Below are 20,623 nucleotides of genomic sequence, written 5' to 3' on the forward strand. Positions count from 1 at the left end.
TGCCTGCTTAATTTTTCTCCATAGTATTTGTCACCAGACAACATTCCATTTTCGAAGATTTATTTTTTTATTTATTGCATTACTATAAAGAAATGAAGATTAATTTTTGTTTGTTTATTGTCTATACACTTCCATGAAAATGTAAGCTCCATAAAAGAATAAGGCAAACTTAGTTGCCTGTTTTGTTTACTTCTGTATCCTCTGCACTGAGAACAGTGCTTTGAACATTGTAGGCCCTCAACAACTTGTATTGAATTAATAAATTTTTGTTTTATGCCCACCTTAATAAATTTTTAAAAGTAGAGATATTAATTAGCCTTTATCTAGTAAAACGAGGTAAGAAAATGACCAAAAAAGTTAAATACTTGAATATTGAGAACTAGTCTTCTAAAAACCTAGTTTATCTTAAGATAAAATCAAAACTGAGATTACAAATTATCTAGAAAATCTTCATATAAAGACTAATAAAATAGAATTTTTAAGTTGTATAAGAAAAAAGATAGATTTAAATGTTATTAAAAATGTTTAATTTATGAAGTATATAACTTAGGATACTTAAAAATAACCATAATAACTGAAAAAAGTTAAGTTATTAGAAGAAAATTAATAAAGGCTGAAATTAATGAAGCAGCAAACAAAAATAATAGCAATGTTAAATAAGTAAAGCTTAGATCCCTGAACTAAAAACAATGAAATAAAACTCTAGACATATTGATTTTTAGAATATGAAAAAATAGAGATGGAGAGAAAGAAAAAATAATTACAACGTTGAAATTGGAAAAAGAAATATAACTACAGATACAGAATATATTAAAATAATTATAAAATAATTTCTGAGGAAAATTAAGTGCAAATTAATATCAATACATTTGTAAGTCTAAAGGAATTGGATTATTTTTTAGAAAGTATTAATAATCAAAGTTGACCTTAGAATACAAAGAAAACATGAAGAAACCAAAGAAGAAGTTGGAGCATCATGAAAGCCATAGACCAAGAAAGGATCTAGACCCAGAAAGTTTCATTGCAGAATTCAATTTAACCTTCAAAATAGCAAATAAAAGTTCAGGGAGTATTTCCCTCTATCTCAGCTCTCACCATACAACTTAAGAGCTGAATATATTCTGAAAATTTTAACGGATCCTTTGGTTTCTGAACTCTTGCTACTCACCACCCAAACCTCAAAAAATCAAATATGACCAGATACTGTATTGTGCTACCTATCTGAACTTTTTCTTTCTGAACTCCAGCACCAATTAAATTTGAATATTAAGAAAATATTTGTAATTCCTATTTTATCCATTTTATTCAAAATACACTGGATTCCCAAAGGTGATTAAAAACTATTAAGATGATCTAGTAAGTTAACACAAGAATATCCAAACTTACTAATTTTAAAAAACACAAAAAAGAAAAATAATTTACTTACAAATATAAGTGCTAATGTTCTAAATAAAATATCAACATATTGAATACATACAGGCATGAAAAGAGTAACATAACATGGTCAAGTAGAAATGTTTCAGAAAACTATAATTATTATAGTAAATTTTTTAAAAATATATCTTTCGATGCCAGAATATAGATATATTTTAAGTAAATATGTCACCAAAAATTCCAAATAAACACTCGGAATAAAATAAAAAATATTATCACATCATTTATCTAAATAATCTTATTTCTGGTTTTATTCTGACACTTTTTTAAAGAAATCTAAATACTAGGGGTCTCCAAAAAGTTCACGGAAAATGCAGATTATGAAAAAAACCCATGCATGAATTTCAAAATTTTGTTGCACCAAAATAAACTTGTACTAACTTGTTCTAAGATGTAAGGACAACATCAGTTTGAAAAAAGCCCCTATAAGAGTAACATGAATTCTGCTAAAATTGAAGTAAGAACAAACATCAAATTTATGGTGAAGCTTGGGTAGAAGAGTGGTGAAATCACTGATGCTTTACAAAAAGCTTATGGAAACAATGCCCCAAAGAAATCAGCAGTTTACAGATGGATAATTCATTTTAAGAAGGCATGAGGCCAAGCATGATGGTGTGTGCCTGTAGTCCCACCTACTAAAGAGGCTGAGGTGGGAGGATGGGTTGACCCAGAAGTTCAAGTGCAACCTGGGCAATACTGTGAAACTCTGTCTCTAAAAAAAAAAGGAGATGAGACAATGTTGACAATGAAACCCACAGCAGCAGACTATCCACATCAATTTGCCAGACAAAATTCATCTTGTTCATGCCCTAATTGAAGAGAACTAACGATTAACAGCAGAAAAAATACCCTACACTATTGACATCTCAGTTGGTTCAGCTTACAAAATTTTGACTGAAAACTTGAAGTTGAGCAACTTTCCATTCCATGGGTGCCAAAACCTTTGCACCCAGATCAGCTACAGACAAAAGCAGAGTTTTCAATGGAAATTTTGAACACGTGGGATAAAGATTTTAAAGAATTTCTTCAAAGAATTGTAACAGGAGAGAAAACATTGCTCTACCAGTATGATCCTGAAGACAAAGCACAATCAAAGTAATGGCTACCAGGAAGTGGAAGTGGTCCAGTGAAAGTCAATGTGGAACAGTCAAAAGCAAAGGTCATGGCAACAATTTTTTTGGATGCTCAAGTCATTTTGCTTCATTTTCTGGAAGGCCAAAGAACAACAATATCTGCTTATTTTGAGAGTGTTTTGAGAAAGTTAGCCAGAGCTTTAGCAGAAAAACATCCAGGAAATCTTCACCAGAGAGTTCCTCTCCACCATGACAGAGTTCCTGCTTGTTTGTGTCATCAAACATGGGCAATTTTGTGAGTTTCAATGAGAAATCATTAGGCATCCACCTTACAGTCCTGATTTGGCTCCATTCGTTTGACTTCATTTTGCTTCCTAATCTTGAAAAATCTGTAAAGGGCACCCATTTATCTTCAGTTAACAACGTAAAAAAAGACTTCATTCACATGATTAAATTCCCAGGACCCTCAGTTCTCTATGAGTGGACTCATCATTTACAAAATTGTCTTGAGTTTGATGGAGCTTATGTTAAGAAGTAAAGTCTATGTTTTTTTTACTTTTATCTTTTAACTCCATTTTTCAAAAACACTTTGAAGTCTCCTCATATATTAAGTAACTTTTAATAAAAACAGCAACAAACATGTTATAAATGGTAAAATTTTAAAGCCAATGCCACTAAAATCAGAATCAAATCACAAATTCTTCTTACCACAATTTTTTTTTCAAAATTATTTTGGAGGATATGAATAATGCAATACGGTAAGAAAACTAAATAAACATTTTTACATAAAAAGATAAATTATGTTTATTTGTAGGTTTTAGACTGTGTGCTTAGAAAACCCAGGAGATGCAACTACAAAACTATTAAGACTAATAGGAAAACCTGGCAAAGTATCGATATGTGAGAAAAATATAGACAAACTAATCACTTTCTTTATATTAATATTATAGATTTAGAAAAAGACATATGCAATTATCTTATTTACGATAGGGATATACTGTAAAAAGTATCTAGAATATATTTAACAAGAAAAACCTACAAAAAATATGTTTTATGTAATTAAGATATGAATGAATGTAAACCTATACAGTTTTCCTAAATGAAATGACTTGGTATTATTAAAATGTTAATCCTACCAAGTAATAACATAAGTTAATACAACTACAATTAGAATTTCAAAAGCTTTTTGTTAAACATTGTCATAAAAATTAAATATGTTATAATATAAAAATTTAAGATATAATAGAAGAAAATTTTTCTGAATAAAGGAAGTCCTGAATATAAATTTTGAAAATGCCCACTAAGCCCCAGGAATAATTTAGTAGAGCTCACAATGTCATTTGCAAAGTATGAGAAATCCTGCTCTCCCACATCCTCACCAGCACAAAACAAAGAGACATAAATAATAATACCATGAACATCCATGTTCCCACTACCTTACCTTAAAATAATAAAACATAACCAATGAAGTTGAAGTTCACTGTGTACACATTTTAGATTCCATTCTCCAACCTCCTGAAATAGCCACTTTCCTGAATTTGGAGTTTATTATTCTCAACCATTGCTTTATAGTCTCATGTTATACACATATAAATGTTTAAATGTTTTCAAACTTTACATAAAGGATAAAAACTTGCATTCCTTCTTCTGCTATTTGTTTTGTTTTGTTTTGGATAACAGTATATTTATAAAATATTGATGCATTATTTAGCTCCAGCTCATTTTAGTTTTTCATCTCCCAGTACACAAATCATTCCCAACTTGTCTCTCCACATCTGAGTTCCTAGTTAATTTCTTCCATTGCCTTGTATTTTTCCACTGCCTTCTCTGTGGTTTCTTCTCATGCCTACCCTCTTTACCTCTGATTTGTTTTCAGTGTTGATTCTGGTCCTTCTAAAGCAGTTCAAAACTGTTTATATTTTCCCCTTCCATTTCTTAAGCATGCCAGCTCTCCTTTCCATTCACCATGGCTTTAATTCCTTTGAGAGGACAAAGGAAATTTAGTCTATTATTTTTATTTCCTTAAGTAATTCTCTTCTGAATATGTATTATTTGTCTTTCTTTTACACATCATTTTTTTCATTATATTTTTCTTTATGAATTTCAGGGAAGTCCCATTTTTCCTACTTCTTATTCATCTTTTATTAGACACAGTTTCATCTGGTGCTGATATTTGCCCAACAGCATTGGTGGATTACCATCATATCTGTTCAATGTTTACCTGATCCCCTTAAATTACTGTTCCTTACAACTTACGCTGGAAAGCTGGACACTTAGTGGTTGCAATATTTTTTTCAGTAATTCGGGTAACTAAGGACAGAAGAGAAGGTAGAGATAGGTGGTGAGTAGCTAAAGTTCAGGTATGGTTATGTTACCTACAGGCACTTTCCCAATTAATTTATGGATTCTCACTCCTGCCAATTCCATGAGGAAATTGTAGTCTTTCTCCTCCTCAAGGTGACAAGTTAACTCTATAGAAAGCCAGGGCAGTGTGAGGGCTCTTGGCTCAAAGACCTTTTGTTAGTAGTTATTAGAGTTCTTACTTATCTCTGTTTGGTCAGCTTTTCTCAGGAGATATTTGACTCCTAGGTACTCCTAGCCCTACCCCTCTCCCAACCCAGTTTCCTTGTAGGCTGCTCTCTTTTTGAGAGCAAGGCAAATAAAAATGTGCCTGATTAGGTCTCTCTTCCCCTGCACCTCCCTTACTTTTGGGTATGCAAGTGTACTCAGAGTAAAGATATGGCCCTCCAGTCTAATGTCTCTGAGAGTTCTTGAATAGGCCTTAAAATACTATAATTTATTTCCTAGTAACTTCATCATTTGAAACGAGGCTAGATCTATGTGAACTCTCTGTCTTTGCTGAAATGATCATTGTTTAACTGACAGATGTTCCTCTTAATATGTAGTATGAGACTGTGGCTGTTCCCTAGTTGATGAAGCATCACTATAAACATGGAATTTTCATAGACAGTAGGGGAATTGTGTGTTCTAATATGTATATGATTCATTTAGAGATCTTGTTTAAATTACAGGGGCAGGGCCTGAGAGTATGCATTCCTAATAAGCTCCCAGATTATGCCAATGCTACTGGCTGCAAACCACACATTAGTCAGGGCTCTCCAGAAAAACAGAACCAATAGAATATATATATATATATATATATATATATATAGAGAGAGAGAGAGAGAGAGAGAGAGAGAGAGAGAGAGATTACATATAGATATAATGTACACACAATCTCTCTCACTATATATAGAGACAGAGAGAGAGATTTTTTGTTGTTGTTGTTGTTGTTTTTGTTTGTTTGTTCGTTTTTTTTAGTAGAGTGGGGATTATATTTCACTATGTTGCCCAGGCTGGTTGCAAACTTCTGGCCTCTCCTGCCTTGGCCTCCCAAAGTGTGTGAGCCACTGCACCCAGCCCATATATGTATAAAGAGAATTGTTATAAAGAATTAGATCACCTAATGATGGAGGCTGAGAGAAGTCCCATGATCCAGTCCACAAGCTAGAGACCCAGAAAAGCTGGGGGTACAGTTTGAAGGCCTGAAAGGTGGAGAGGCAATGGTGTAGATTCCAGTCCGAGTGTAAAAGCATGAGAAACAGGAGCACCAAGGACAGGAGAAGATGGGTCCCAGCTCAGTCAGGCAGATCTAGAATTCAACTTTCCTCTGCCTTTTTGTTCTATTCAGGCCTCAACAGATTGGATGAGGGCCGGAAGAACAACGTGAGGTCTCCCCACACTGAGGAGGGCCATCTGCTTTACTCAGTCCACCAATTCAAATGTTAATCTCTTGCAGAAACAGCCTCACAGACACACCCAGAAATAATGTTTAACTAAATATCTGGGCATCCCATGGCCCAGTTCAGGTTGACAAAATTAACTACTATAGGTTATCTTCATGCAGCATCCAAAGGATGAAAGGGCTGAATAGCCTGGGCAAAAAATTAAAAATAATTAATAGCTAATATTTATTAAAATGTTGACTACATCCCAGCCACAGCACTAAGTGCTCTCTGTGGATTATCTCATTTAATTCTCACAATGGTCCTGTAAGGTACATTACAGTCATGCATCACTTAATGACAGGAATACATTCTGAGAAATTTATCAGTAGGAGATTTCTTGTTATGTGAACATCATAGAGTGTGCTTACACAAACCTAGATGGTATAGCCTACTACACTACACACCTAGGCTACATGGTATAGCCTAGTGTTGCAAGACTACACACCTGTACAGCAGCTTACTGTATTGAATACTGTAGGCGATTGTCACACAATGGTAAGCATGTGCATCTGAACATATAGAAATATAGAAAAGGTATAGTAAAATACAGTATTATAATCTTCTTGGACAACCGTTGTATACACAGTTCATTGTTGGCCAAAACATCATTATGCAGCACATGACTGTATTTTCATTTTATAGAGGAAGAAATTGAGGCACAGGGAGATTGGGTAACCTGAGATTAAACATTTAGCAAGTGACAGAATTGAGCAATCAAACTTCAGAACCTCAACTTGAAACATCATTTCCTGATGCAAACATGAGGACATATTGCTCTACCATACAGAAAGCAGCAGGGCAGCTGCCATGCTTGTATAACAACTATTTTTTTTTTTTTTTTTGCTTATTGAAACTGAAGGGATGTTGGGAAAGACAGACTGGGAGCTTTCTCTAAATTTTAATACAGCATCAGTGCTTCCTATAATGTCCAGGTTAGGAGAGAAGCAAATGGAGCTTTACTAAGGAAGAGAAAGTGATCAATACCAGTGAGAAAGGTGAAAAAAAAAAAAACAAACAAAAACGAAAAAAAAACCTAAGCAAATTCAGTGAGAAAAGAAAAAGCAGAACTTAGAGTCCTTACCCTTCAATTTAAGGAAGGAGAGTTATTGCCTAGCAGAATCTTGAAATAAAATTTCCTTAGAAAGCCCCAGAAAGTTTTGTGTGTATTGCAAGTCCAAAGGATAAGGAGAACTTCTATATGCTTTCTTCTTATTTCCACTGGGCAAAGTACTGCTCTATCAAGACTCAGCCTGCCATGAGGCTTTCCAATCAACTCTCAACCACCACAACAGTTAGGGCTTTTTCCTCTATGTTGCAAAGCACTTTCTGCATAACTCAGAATGCAAAATGTACTCATTCATTTGTTTATTTACATTTTTTCCTCACTAGACTGATTTTTTTTTTTTTTTTTTAGGACAAGGCCTTACTTACACACATAACTTGTACTCTAGGTAAACTGGAATACTCTATTCACTAAACAGCCTTAGCTTTACAGTCTTGACATCATTGCCTTTTCACTATTGGCATCCCTCAGCTCGTCATGAGTTCTACTAAATGCCACTTTTACTACGAAGCCTTCCCCGGCTTCCTTCCCTAAACTCATTTCACCGTACCTATATCATAACATAAAACACTGCCTTGTTATGCTTTGTAAATCTCTTTTCTGCATTAGATTATAGACTCCTATGACTAAGTCGTCATAACCTTTGAATTCTCATTAGGGCTTACTTAGCTGAATCATGCACAATGGCAGACATTCATAAAATCAGATATTGATTGCCTATTTAAAAAGAAAGGAAAGGGGTCAGGCGTGGTGGTTCACACCTATAATCTCAGCAATTTGGGAAGCCATGGCAGGAGGATTGCTTGAGTTCAGGAGTTCAAGGACAGCCTGGGCAACTGTCTCTACCAAAAATACATAAAATTAGCTGGGGCATGGTGGTGACACCTGTAGTCCCAGCTATTCAAGAGGCTGAGGCTGGAGGAATGCTTGAGCCTGGGAGGCAGAGATTGCAGTGAGTGAAAATCGTGCCACCGCACTCCAGCCTGGGAGACAGAGTGAGACTCCATCTCCAAAAGAAAAAGAAGGAAGAAATAAAAAGGGAATTAAAACAAATTTAAAAAAAAAAGGAAAAGAGGTTTAGTTACAATGAATGTTCCTGGACTGGCTAACATAGGCTCACAATAGCTTAAAATAAAGTTTAAAAACCTCACAGGCTCCTTTAAAGAGATCCTCCAGATCCTTTCATTTATAGAATCTTTCCATGTCCAGGCTTCTTTTTCTATTGAACACATCCCTCAACAAGGAGCCATTTTTTCCCATGTTCTTCAGAAAGTTACCATGTACATGTTTTGGGTATAAGAGAGAAGACACAGGAGCCACATTTACCTTCAAACTAAAATCAAAATTAAAACAACCAGATTGAAAAAAAGAAGAAATTCAAAATTCAGAAAGGAATCTTAGAGACAAAAACGTATTAAATTCAATTTTGTTTGAGAGGAAGCTCAGACTTTGCTCATTGTTGAGGTGCCATACCTAGAGACTGAGTAAATGCAGTGCTGATGATAGAGAATTACTGATTTATTCTCAAGCGCATTGTGTGGGCCAGGAGCATCTTAGAGAAGGACAGGAAAAATGTGCTTATTTGCACTCTTCCATTACAGAATAAGGAGAGATCTTTTGCAATTGCCTTCTTTTCTTTCAACTCCAAATGTAAGTGCTTTAATTTTCTACATATTCTCTATTTCTTTCTTGAGGCAACATGATTGGGAAGGGGTGCTGTGTGTCATGTAGAACCAAGAAACCCATTACAAATAAAGAGGAAAGTGTGGATTCTATTAAAAAAACAAAAACAAAGAATCATAGTAATTGTGGGCAAGACAAATTTATTTCTTCAGCCTTTGAAATAACGTCAGCAAGAACCGACTAGTGGCTGAGTAGACAAAGTAAACATAAAATTGTATTAAAAGTAAGGTTCTCGGCCGGGTGCGGTGCGTCATGCCTGTAATCCCAGCACTTTGGGAGACTGAGGCGGGCGGATCACAAGGTCAGGGGATCGAGACCATCCTGGCTAACACAGTGAAACCCCGTCTCTACTAAAAATACAAAAAAATTAGCTAGGCGTGGTGGTGGGCACCTGTAGTCTCAGCTACTCGGGAGGCTGAGGCAGGAGAATGGCATGAACCCGGGAGGCAGAGCTTGCAGTGAGCCAAGATTGCCCCACTGCACTCCAGCCTGGGCGACAGAGCGAGACTCTGTCTCAAAAAAAAAAAAAAAGTAAGGTTCTCAGTGCTCTGTTTACATCTCCTTTTTACTTACAATGGTTTATTCCATTTGTTGTCTTTGGTTTTTTTTTGTTTTTTTTTTTTTGTCATGAAGACAACACAGAAATCCAGATCTTAGGCTAGGGTCTGAGAACCCATCTTAACATCAAAATAAAACACAACAAAAACCAAGAATACTTCTAACAACTTGAAATATTTAATGGAGTACATACTCAGAAATAAAGTCTCCCTTCTGCCAGTTTGGAAAACTGGCACAGACAGGCAAAATGAATTCACAACTTGCAGCCAGTTTGTTCTTTTTTTTTTTTTATACTAGACATCAAGATTTGTTTTTTAAATAATAGAAGGATGTTTTGATTATCACTGTGGGACAAAAAGCCTTTAATTTTTTTATTTCAATCAATCAAGTTCTTCCAGCCTAGACCCATTTATTCTTCTTCATACTCAACTTCCTAAATTTATGTTAGGAAAAAGAATTTTACCTTACCTCAGGCAACAGGACTTACAATGGAGAAAACACCAAACAAAATGCCATTCGCTCCCACCCCCCAAATCATCTTGTATTTATAGCCAAAGTTTTATATCGTGTGTATTCATTTTCCATTTCCCTCACTAAGTTGTCCCTGTTGAGAAGTTCTTAGCACCTGGCCCCTAAGAAATAACTGTTTCACATTTAGCATCTTTTAACTAGTAATCACTACTCTCAGAGAAAAGCCCTGCAGCCTCCAAAGTAACCAGCTCTCTAGTTCCCTGAGATCAGAGGAAAAGGGCTTTTTTTTTTTTTTTTTTTGGAGAGGGGGTCTCGCTCTGTCACCCAGGCTGGAGTGCAATGGTGCGATCTCAGCTCACTGCAAACTCCATCTCCCGGGTTCACACCATTCTCCTGCCTCAGCCTCCCGAGTAGCTGGGACTACAGACATCTGCCACAGCACCCAACTAATTTTTTTTTTTTTTTGTATTTTTAGTAGAGATGGGGTTTCACCATGTTAGGAGGGTCTCGATCTCCTGACCTCGTGATCCGCCCGCCTCGGCCTCCCAAAGTGCTGGGATTACAGGCGTGAGCCACCACGCCCGGCTTGGAAAGGGCTTTTGAGACACACACACACACACACACACACACACACACACACACACACACGGTACAGAGAGCGCTGGGGAGAAGAGGAGGGAGGATGGAAGGAGAGGAGCAGAGGAATAGTGAGGAAAATAATACTATTTTTCCTTTCCTTAGTTGGAATAGTGAGGAAAATAATACTATTTTTCCTTAGTTAACAAAGTGGATTTAAGGCCAGACATGGTGGCTCACACCTGTAATCCCAGCACTTTGAGAGGCCAAGGCGGGTGGACCACTTGAGGCGAGGAGTTTGAGACCAGCCTGGCCAACATGGCGAAAACCCATCTCTACTAAAAATACAAAAATTAGCCAGGGGTGGCGGTGCACGCCTGTAATCCCAGCTACTTGGGAGGCTGAGGCAAGAGAATTGCTGGAATCCAGGAGGCGGAAGTTGCAGTGAGCTGAGATTATGTCACTGCCCTCCAGGTTGGGCTATTGAGCAAGATCCTGTCTCAAAAAAAAATAAAAATAAAAAAGTGGAGTTAAGAGGGCAATGAGGAGACATCTAAAAAGAAAATCAGAACCAACTTCAATACTCAAGACAGATATAAACCACAGATATAAAAGAAGCCTATGTGTAACTGACAGGGTATTGTGTGCATCCTACAACTATCACAAAGTTTCACGGCTACTCCTGGAGACGGACATACTTGCACGTGTTCAAGACCACAGTACCATGATGGTCACAGCAGCCAACACTTACTAAGGGCCTCGTCCTACATCTATTACCCCATTCAGGATTCCAAATACCCTCTGAGGTGGATATCCTTATCCAAAGCCCTTAGGGCCAGTTGTATTTCTGGAATTGAGCATTTTTTGGATTTTAGAAAGACAATATGGAGCATGTTCCTATAGCATAAATCATCTCCCATGGGAGCTGGAATTCAAATGCATTAATCTTCCTGCAGTAAAATGTGTGGATAGACATTAAAGTAGGTTGAAGACCACATTAAATAGGGTCACATTGGGGGACCTCAAGTTTTACTGCCAAAAATGTTTTTGCAACCCTAGATTTTTTAAAATCTCTTTTCAGAGTTTGAAATCTGGAGTTGAAGAATGAATATATTATGACTCCATTTTAAAGGCAAAGGAACTGGGAGTCAAAATGGATGAAGTGCTTTGCCTCTTGGCACTACTGCCAGTGTTTGAACTGGGATCCAACCAGGAAATGTTTGATTCCAGAACCTGTGCCTAGATCTCCTGGCCCTCTGGCTCTCTCTCTCGGTGTCTAAGCAAATGCAGGGTTCTTTTCCCTAGTCTTTCTGCCTATCCTGAAGACTTCATCTGTCTTCTCTGTTCTTCATTATTTTATCTTTCTCTGCAACCTTACCCACAAAAAAAGGACTGCAGAAAGAAAGAAAAAACACTGTTTTTCCTTCCCTAATAGCAGAGAGAGGCAACATCCGCTTTGGTCTACTGAGACACAAAGAGAAGGGAAGGGAAAGGAGGGGAGGAGAGAGAAGACTGCATGGAGGGAGGGGGAAGGGAGAAGGAAGGGGCGATGGGATAAAAAGGAGAGGGGAAGTTGGGAGGGTAAGGAACAAAGGACCTGAGCCTGGATCCACAAATCACCAAAGCATTAAAAAATCCTAACAATTTGGCTGGGCGTGGTGGCTCGCACCTGTAATCTTAGCACTTTGGGAGGCAGAGGTAGGTGGATCACAAGGTCAGAAGATGAAGACCATCCTGGCTAACACGGTGAAACCCCGTCTCTACTAAAAATACAAAAAATTAGCTGGGTGTGGTGGCACACGCCTGTAGTCCCAGTCACTCGGGAGGCTGAAGCAGAAGAATTGCTTGAACCCAGGAGTTGGAAGTTGCAGTGAGCTGAGATCGCGCCACTGCACTCCAGCCTGGCGATAGAGTGAGACCCTGTCTCAAAAAAAAAAATCCTAACAATTCAAGACATCGATGTTGTTTCAGTGTAAGTCTCTGTTGTCATCTCACACCTTCCCCAGAGATGGCTTCTTTAAGTGAATGTTTGCAGTAGAAAGATGAGACGAAGCTTCACATCTACATAGTAGGCAAAAAGGACAGTCCAAGGAGGCTGATAAAATGGTCACCAAACTGACCTAATCCAGCAGCTGCTGGATTGGGTCCAAGGCCAGAGGTCAGAAGAGAGGATGTGCCACCTGGGAAGGTGCAAAAACTTGAGAAAGACATTGGACTTTATCAGGCCAGAAAAATGGGGGTTGATCAATGCATCTCTGGAGGTACAGGGTGACCCTGGTTGAAATGGAGGTAACCTTTTGCATGCATACGTATAGAGCTCTCAGCACTCTTACCTTTACCCTCCCATATTCTAATGTGCTTTCCCCAGGGAAGAAAATGAGTAGCCGCAATGAGTATACCTGGAATTACATGTAACCCTGAAATGTCCATGGGACTATGTGGTTTGTGACTGTTTGTACAATGCCTATCAAATCAAGAAAAAGGCTGAGACTCATCGTTTGTGTTTTTCATTTGAAATCCTAATGGTTAAACTTGAACCTGGTGGTCAAACTAACACCCCAAAATATCAACCCCACATAAATCAGAGACCTGCAAGGGCACAGTAGATTCTGTATCTTCCGGCCTTCAAATCGGGGCAGCTTGTCTGATCATGAGTGCTCTACAGTATTACATTAACAGATGGGTATTTGATCTAGGTCTAAGGTCAAAGGTGGGATTTTAACATCACCCCTTCTTTCTGTAACCTGAGTCTCAACTTGCTATAATACTTCATCCTTTTTAAATGATGTGGCATGCGGCACTTTACCACCAATGCACAGCTGAGGCCTTGTCAATCTGCCTCCCTTGTATATTTCATGTTCCCAACATGAAGAGAGCACTCAATGCCAGTGAGAGCCCCTGCACACAGTAGGCACTCCCTAAATGTTGGTGATTTGAGAAGCTTATGAAAACTCTACCCTCTTGGTTCATAAATTTTGTAGGTGCTTTAGTTTAAATTAAAAATAAAAAAAGGCTTTGCATGTCATGAACACAAGGGCATTCTTTTCTGGTGCACTGATAGATGGTAGTAAAAGAAGTATTTTTTTTCTCTTTGTAACTTTATAAAAATCAGTGGCCAGACATCAAAATAAACCATATCTTTTAAAAAACTAACCTAGGCCAGGTGTAGTGGCTCACGCCTGCAATCCTAGCACTTTGGGAGGCTGAGGCAGGCAGATTGCTTGAGCCCATGAGTTTGAGACCAGTCTGGGCAACATGGCAAAACCCTGTCTGTACTAAAAATACAAAAACTGAGGTGGGAGGATCACCTGAGCCTAGGGAGGTCGAGACTGCAGTGAGCTGTGATTGCATTACTGCACTCGAGCCTGGGCGACAAAGTGAGACTCCATCTCAAGTAAAATAAAATAAACAGCCAACCTTGCACTGTGAGTCTTGCAAGAAGAAAAAATTTAAAAACTGAAAAAAAAAAAAACAACCAACGACATGAAAAAAAAACTATTCGGCACATTACTTTCTCTACACTAATTTAAGAAGGGCAAAGGCATATACATATGACTCACAAATGTATGCAGAAATCTTCCTTTTGCACCATTTCTTGAATTTTACTTTCTTCCTTCCAGTGCTAACTCTGCCCGTCCTACTCTCGCAGCAAGCACATATGTAACACACCCACACACATACACACAAGACTCTATTTTGTTCCCTTGAAATAAATTTCTAGTGAAAGTTCCCACTGAAAAAACAAACTATATTAGACCAGAGATCTGTACTCAAGGTATTGAAATATATTTTTACTCAACAATACCCTAAAAACCTTGAGCTATGAAATAGGCTACTAAGCAACCTCATTTCAATTACCTTTATCGTAACTTGATTGCCTAACATAAAGTGTTACACTAAATGACTAAGGTTAAAAATAACTTTGTCCAACTACACATTTGGATGTTTTAATTTCATTCTACACGGCAGAGTATTTTCCTATCTAAGTTGACAAGTTCAGTGTGAGTAGGTGGGAAGAATAAAAACAAAGGGATACTCATTAAGAAATGAAGGTAGGACTTTTCTCATGAAAAGAGAAGGGCAAAAATACCTTTCAGAGCCAAAGAATCATAGCCAGCATTTTGATAAAGGACAAACTTTGATCTGCATTGATGAATCTGAGAGATCTTCTGGGAGAGATGCCATAGATTATTACAACAAATTATTAGCAGATTCACAAGGCTATAATCACTATCCGTATCCATGGTACCCAGTTTCAAATTAACATGGTTATTTTACTTGTGTTCCCAAATTTAACATTAGGGAATTTTTGGTTGTGGGTCTGTTATCACTAGAAAAATAGATATATTGGTGCTGAAGATAATTTTGAGATAATTAGACAAGACAGTTTAGCATTTACAAGAACAAGTTTGGCAGTTGAAGAATCTATTTATATGACTTAAAAAGAAAAAAAAGGTGTCATGGCACCTGTGGTAAATGTTTGCTTTGGATAAAATTTCTAGATCTGCATGAAACCTCACATAATATCACTATTGCTTTTCAAAGCATAGTTCCTTACTTTTTTTTTCTCATTCATTCCATTCCTCTTTCCCCCACAAGCTTATCCCACCATTTTTAATCAAGTGGCCAGAATTATCTGGTTATTTTTAATTGGGAGCTTTGACAGGGATTCTTTCTTAAACCCAGAGATTTCTGCCTCCTTTTTAGCTTTGCTAAGACTCTCAAGAGTGGGAGAGAATCATATCTGATAGTGATATGGACCCAACATTAACATGCCAAAAGTATTCAATTTTTATGCAGCAAAAGGAAGACAACTTAGACTAGATAGCTACAGCAAATTTCAAAATGGAAGGCGACATTCTTACTTCTCAGGCTGGGGAGCATGGGTGGGGTAGAATTCATGGTGAAATGTATTTGAGAAAGTACCTTTTCATCCATCTTTGATAAGGAAAGTGAAACCAGAGAAATATTCATTTTTATGTCTTAACACCAGGGACTTTCTGTAATGCAGGAATAGGCCAGATACTTGCCAGCACCTTAAAAAAAGTTAAGTGTTCCATGCTGTTTAAGTGACTGAATGATAAAGTTAATGTACCCTTGCTTTTCTCTTCAGTCATATATACAAAAGACCAGGGGCTCTAAATGATAACAAGTCTTTGTACTGTAATCTCAGATTTGGTAAGGAATAGGTGTTTGAGATAACTGAATTTCCCAGGTATTTATATATCAACAAGAAAACTTTTTGTTTTCAACACTTGTCTGTTAGCTTGCCTAGCCATATGTCCTGCCAAAACATTGAGTGCCTTGCTGAACCTGTTCATTATACTGAACATCAATTCTTATTCTATATTTATTGATATACAGTTTTTTTAAAAAATCAGACTTATATTTTGAAGTTCAGGTCTTCTTATAAGCCTGTTTATTATGATTTGCAATTATCTCTAAAAGGGAGAAGAAGGTGTGTGGGGACAGGGCGGAAACTCTGCTGAATTTTCCAGAAATCAAAGTTGTGGTGACTCCTATGGCATGCAATAACCAGAAAACAAATAAAAAGTGGTCAGGAAAATAACTGCCAAAAATCAGGTTGGTTGACATTATAATAGAGTACCCAAGAATGCCAAATTATAATTATATATTTGGGGAGAGATAAGTCTCAAAGGATTTTGGAATTCACTCAACTGTTTGAATGGAATGTTCTTTCCCCAGATATCTCCTGAGCTGTTTCTCTGGTCTCCAAGTTTCTGCTTAAATGTCACCTTATCAGTTGAGGCCTTCCCTGACTATTTTACTTAAAATAGTTCCACTCCAGCAATTCCCTCCCTCCCTCTCTCCTTTTTCAGACAAGATCATGCACAATTTTGCACAACTCCAGGAAGTAACACTCACAGAACTAACACAGCAGCTCTGATCGTCAGCACCTGTCACCATCTAACACAGCATACATATTCTTTGCTTATTTACCTCTCTGAGGGCAGGGATTTTTGTTTGGTTCACTGCTATATCTCCAAGTGCCCAGAACAATACTGGGTGCATAGTAGGTGCCAAATAAATATTTATAAATGAACAATCTGTTAATCTAATTTTGGCATCTTCTAAAGCTCTGGTCTAAGAGTTGTCCCTGACTTTCATATCTTCCTGTCTAATGGGAAAATCAGACATGAATGCAAACAATTACAATGCAACAGGATCAGAAAAGAAACCAATGCTTGGGGAGGTGATATGTATTGGTTAGAAGCTAGTGCTTGATCTTACACAAATCTGGATGCTAGCTCCAAATCAGCCCATAGCTGTGTGACCTTGGGCAAGTGATATAACATCTCTGTATCATAATATTCTCAAATGACAGATGACTATAACAACAAATGTCTACATTTACAGGCTTGTGATGAGGAGTCAGTGAGGGGATGCACAAAGGTACTTAGCACAGTCCTGACACTCAGGAAGGCTGCAGGAAGTGCCTGAGGCATCAGGACAGAATTTTACAGAAGCAGAGCAGCAGAACAGGGGGTTGAAAGCTGCCTAGTGGCACTGGGATGGCTTGCCAGGAAGAGGCACGAATGAAGGAAAAATTGTCCTCAATATGCACAGAGTTAAATGTCACATTGACTTGTCCTGTGCTTAATGAGTGATGGGATTCCTTTTTAAAATGAGGAACAAACCTACTAGTGAAATGAATGTGTAATCAGAGTAGGCAGGAGCTTCTCCAATTGAAAATGGGTTATTAACAAGTCTTTCCACTGACCAAATCTGGCTTTAACCCACGTTATATCTTCACTGATTTGCCATTCTTTCTAAAATGGAGTGTAGAGGGGAAAAAAAAAGCAAAAAGCCCAACTGGTACTGAAATATTATGTATTGCTGTGCTGAGAAAGAAATGCCTAAAAACCACCACCACAGCCCACCAGTGCTTTGACAGCAGAGGTTTTGTTAAGCAGACCACATTGACCCTCTCAGGAAAAAAAAAAACAGTTAATTCAAGATCTGGTCCCAGATCAGGTTCCAAACGAGAACCTGAAAACTACAGGGGGAAAAAGGAGTAAGCTCCCTTTTCAATCACTATCCCTCAGTAGATCCCAAACTCATTAAGAACAGTGTTTTTAGGACAAGACTTTGTCTCTGATTCAAGAATCTTTCAAGACAGTGACACATAACCCTTAAATTGAATCAATTTCACAACGAATTGCACTGTAACTTAGGTCAATATTCTAAATGCTCTCTGGCAACTGATGTTGAGAATTTTGAGAGGAAAAGAAGTACTCAAGGCTAGGACTCAGCTATATAACACTGGCTTGACACTTGTCCCCTCTTCTTATTTTCATAACTCACTATAGAGTGACATAAACAGGCTAAAATGAAAAATAGGGGAGGAGAGAAAGGTATTATGTAAATGTGACATTATCACAATCTTTTTTGATTGATCAAGATTCTAACGCTTAGGCCTAATAATAAACAGGCAATCCTTAGTAAGCTTATGAGTCAGTGATGGGGATATGACTCAGATTTTACTTTAAGGATGAAAAACCCATAGCAAATTGGGCAGGGATGTACTATATTACCAACCCCTAAATCATAACTAGTCGAAAGGCAACGGTTTCTTCTGGAGACAATTTGCTTCATGTTTAAAGTAACCACTGCCGCATGTTTAGGAAGCAAAAATAAAAGTTATAAAAGGAGAGGGAAAACAACTTATTTCTAATTTGAGGCCTGGCTCCACAGCCATATTTCTGAATCAAACATTAAGCGTCCCAAAACGGAATTTTCTGCGGTGGCAAAAATGTTCTAGCTCTTGATCAGGGTGTAGATTATATGGGTGTGCAAAATTCCCTGAACTCTTTGCATTTGATTATACAGATTTTTACATCAACTTAAAGAAAATAATTTAAGTGGCCCATACTTTGAAAGTTATTGTCCAGGAGGTACGTATACTCAAAATGTAAACCTAAAATGAAACTATTTTTTAAATCCTATTTAGGCTGGGCGCAGTGGCTCACACTTGTAATCCCAGCACTTTGGGAGGCTGAGAGGCAGGTGGATCACTTGAGGTCAGGAGTTCGAGACCAGCCTGACCAACATGGTGAAACCCGTCTCTACTAAAAATACAAAAACTAACTGGGTATGGTGGCGTGTGTCTGTAATCCCAGCTACTTGGGACATTGAGGCAGGAGAATCACTTGAACTCGGGAGGTGGAAGTTGCAGTGAGACGGGATCGTGCCGCTGCACTCCAGTCTGGGCACTCCAGCCTGGGCAACAGAGTGAGACTCCGTCTCAAAAAAAAAAAAGAAAAGAAAAGAAAAGAAATCCTATTTAAATAAAACTCCTTTGCAAAAATGACAAGTGCTATATTTTAAAGATATAGAAAATATTCAAGATCTGTTTGAATTGTGCTGTTTCATACACCATGAAAGTGACTCTAATCTAGTAGCTCACAATAAAATCCATCTTTTTATGCCAAACTTTTAAAACGTTAAAGGGTCACTAATATCTGTATCGGGAAAAAAAAAATCAATCTAGCCGTTTGGAAAAACCCAGCCTTTGAGTTCCATTTGGGTCCTTTTTGGACCAACTCCCTGACACCTTCATTAGGAAGTAAACACACTGCTGGTTGCCAACGCTTTAAAAAGAGATAATACTGTTAACAAGGCCTATAAAAGCGAGGTGACCATATGTCCTGGCTGATGCTTATAGTCTGTGTTTAATAATTAACAGCACCCTCTTTTACTCTCAAGAATCACGGTTTGGTTGATAAAATTCTCAAATTTTATCAACCAAAATGGTCACTCAAATGGTTATCAATCAAATGGACACGCTACCTGTAAAGCCCCACGATTTGGCCTCACTCCCATTAATTTCTCTCCATTCCAGTTTCACTGGTCTTTGTCCAACCCCTCCTGTTCACCATTACTCTTGAGCCAGGTTTTGTGCATATTCCTCTCTCTCTCTCGCCTGCCTTCTCCACTTAAACCCCTACTCATTCCTCAGATCTCAGCTCAAGTGTCCCTTCCTCTGGGAAACCTTTCTATGGCAGTCCTATCTCTCTATTAGAGCTCTCAGGACACCACTTCACCACTTCCCTTTTCCTCAGCATGTCTCAGATCCAGCCCAACATTTGTTGGATAACCCTCTCTCTGCCACTAGGTTCCAAGCTCATTGAGGGCAAGCACAGTGACTATTTTTGCAACCCTAGTGCTTATCACAGTACTTGGCACATGGAGGGACTCAACAAGTATGTGTTTAATAAATGAATGTAAGAGATATAGGTGATAGACACAAGACAAAACACCACTTGTATATTAATGACCAGAAAATATCTTAAGAAAGTTAAAAAATAACTGAAAGACTTAAAGGGTAGTGGAAAAAAGTGCAAGAATCTGAGAGGGAAAAAGAGCTTGTATCTAGTGATATTACCTAAGAGCTCCATCCTTAATTGTAACAATGACTACCGGCTTGAGAGAGAGAAATATTCCTGACAACACTGGCCACCTAACCCTTGTTTTAATGGGTTCCAAACTCTTATTCTTACATCACAATCTTAAACATTATAGGGGCACACTGACTGACTTATAAGGCTACACACATAGGTTCAAGCATGGCCTGAACCACACACGAGCTTTAAGATGCAAGACTTCTGAAAGGGTCAGAGGCTGATTTTCCCTAGAAGTCTCTTCAGGTTCAACAAAGAATGGGTCCTTTGTTTCCTATAGGATTGCAAAATAAATTAGCACAAAGCTCTGCTGGCTATCTACTTCCCTGATGTAAACCATAATGCTATACAAGCCCAACAGCAAGCTATTCAATGAGGATATCTGCACACAGAAAAAGCAACTTGAGTATAAACTAAAAGAATCCGTGATCACTGACTCATTTATGACTGGCTAGGGGAAATCAGTTACATTATTAGTGATTCAGGCAAACATTGCATCAGGTTACATCACAGGAAGAAACTCAAATTCAAACTGACAATTTATAAAAAGGCTGC

At 37.8% G+C, this 20,623-nt stretch overlaps 1 long non-coding RNA gene across 5 annotated transcripts in view, besides 2 other annotated features; it reads right to left on the reverse strand.

The window, feature by feature from the left end:
- Positions 1-20,623, reverse strand: part of LINC01619 (long intergenic non-protein coding RNA 1619) — a 157,856-nt gene that overhangs the window by 131,937 nt on the left and 5,296 nt on the right. The gene's annotated exons all lie outside the window — the stretch shown is intronic.
- Positions 15,686-15,755: an enhancer, noted in NCBI's record as "active region_6719". NCBI's record gives its function as "activates an Ori minimal core promoter by ATAC-STARR-seq in GM12878 lymphoblastoid cells {active_cell/tissue: GM12878}" and the evidence as "EXISTENCE:reporter gene assay evidence [ECO:0000049][PMID:35858748]".
- Positions 18,100-18,159: an enhancer, noted in NCBI's record as "active region_6720". NCBI's record gives its function as "activates an Ori minimal core promoter by ATAC-STARR-seq in GM12878 lymphoblastoid cells {active_cell/tissue: GM12878}" and the evidence as "EXISTENCE:reporter gene assay evidence [ECO:0000049][PMID:35858748]".

This window comes from Homo sapiens, chromosome 12, assembly GCF_000001405.40.
Source record: "Homo sapiens chromosome 12, GRCh38.p14 Primary Assembly".
In the NCBI taxonomy this organism is placed as follows: domain Eukaryota; kingdom Metazoa; phylum Chordata; class Mammalia; order Primates; family Hominidae; genus Homo; species Homo sapiens.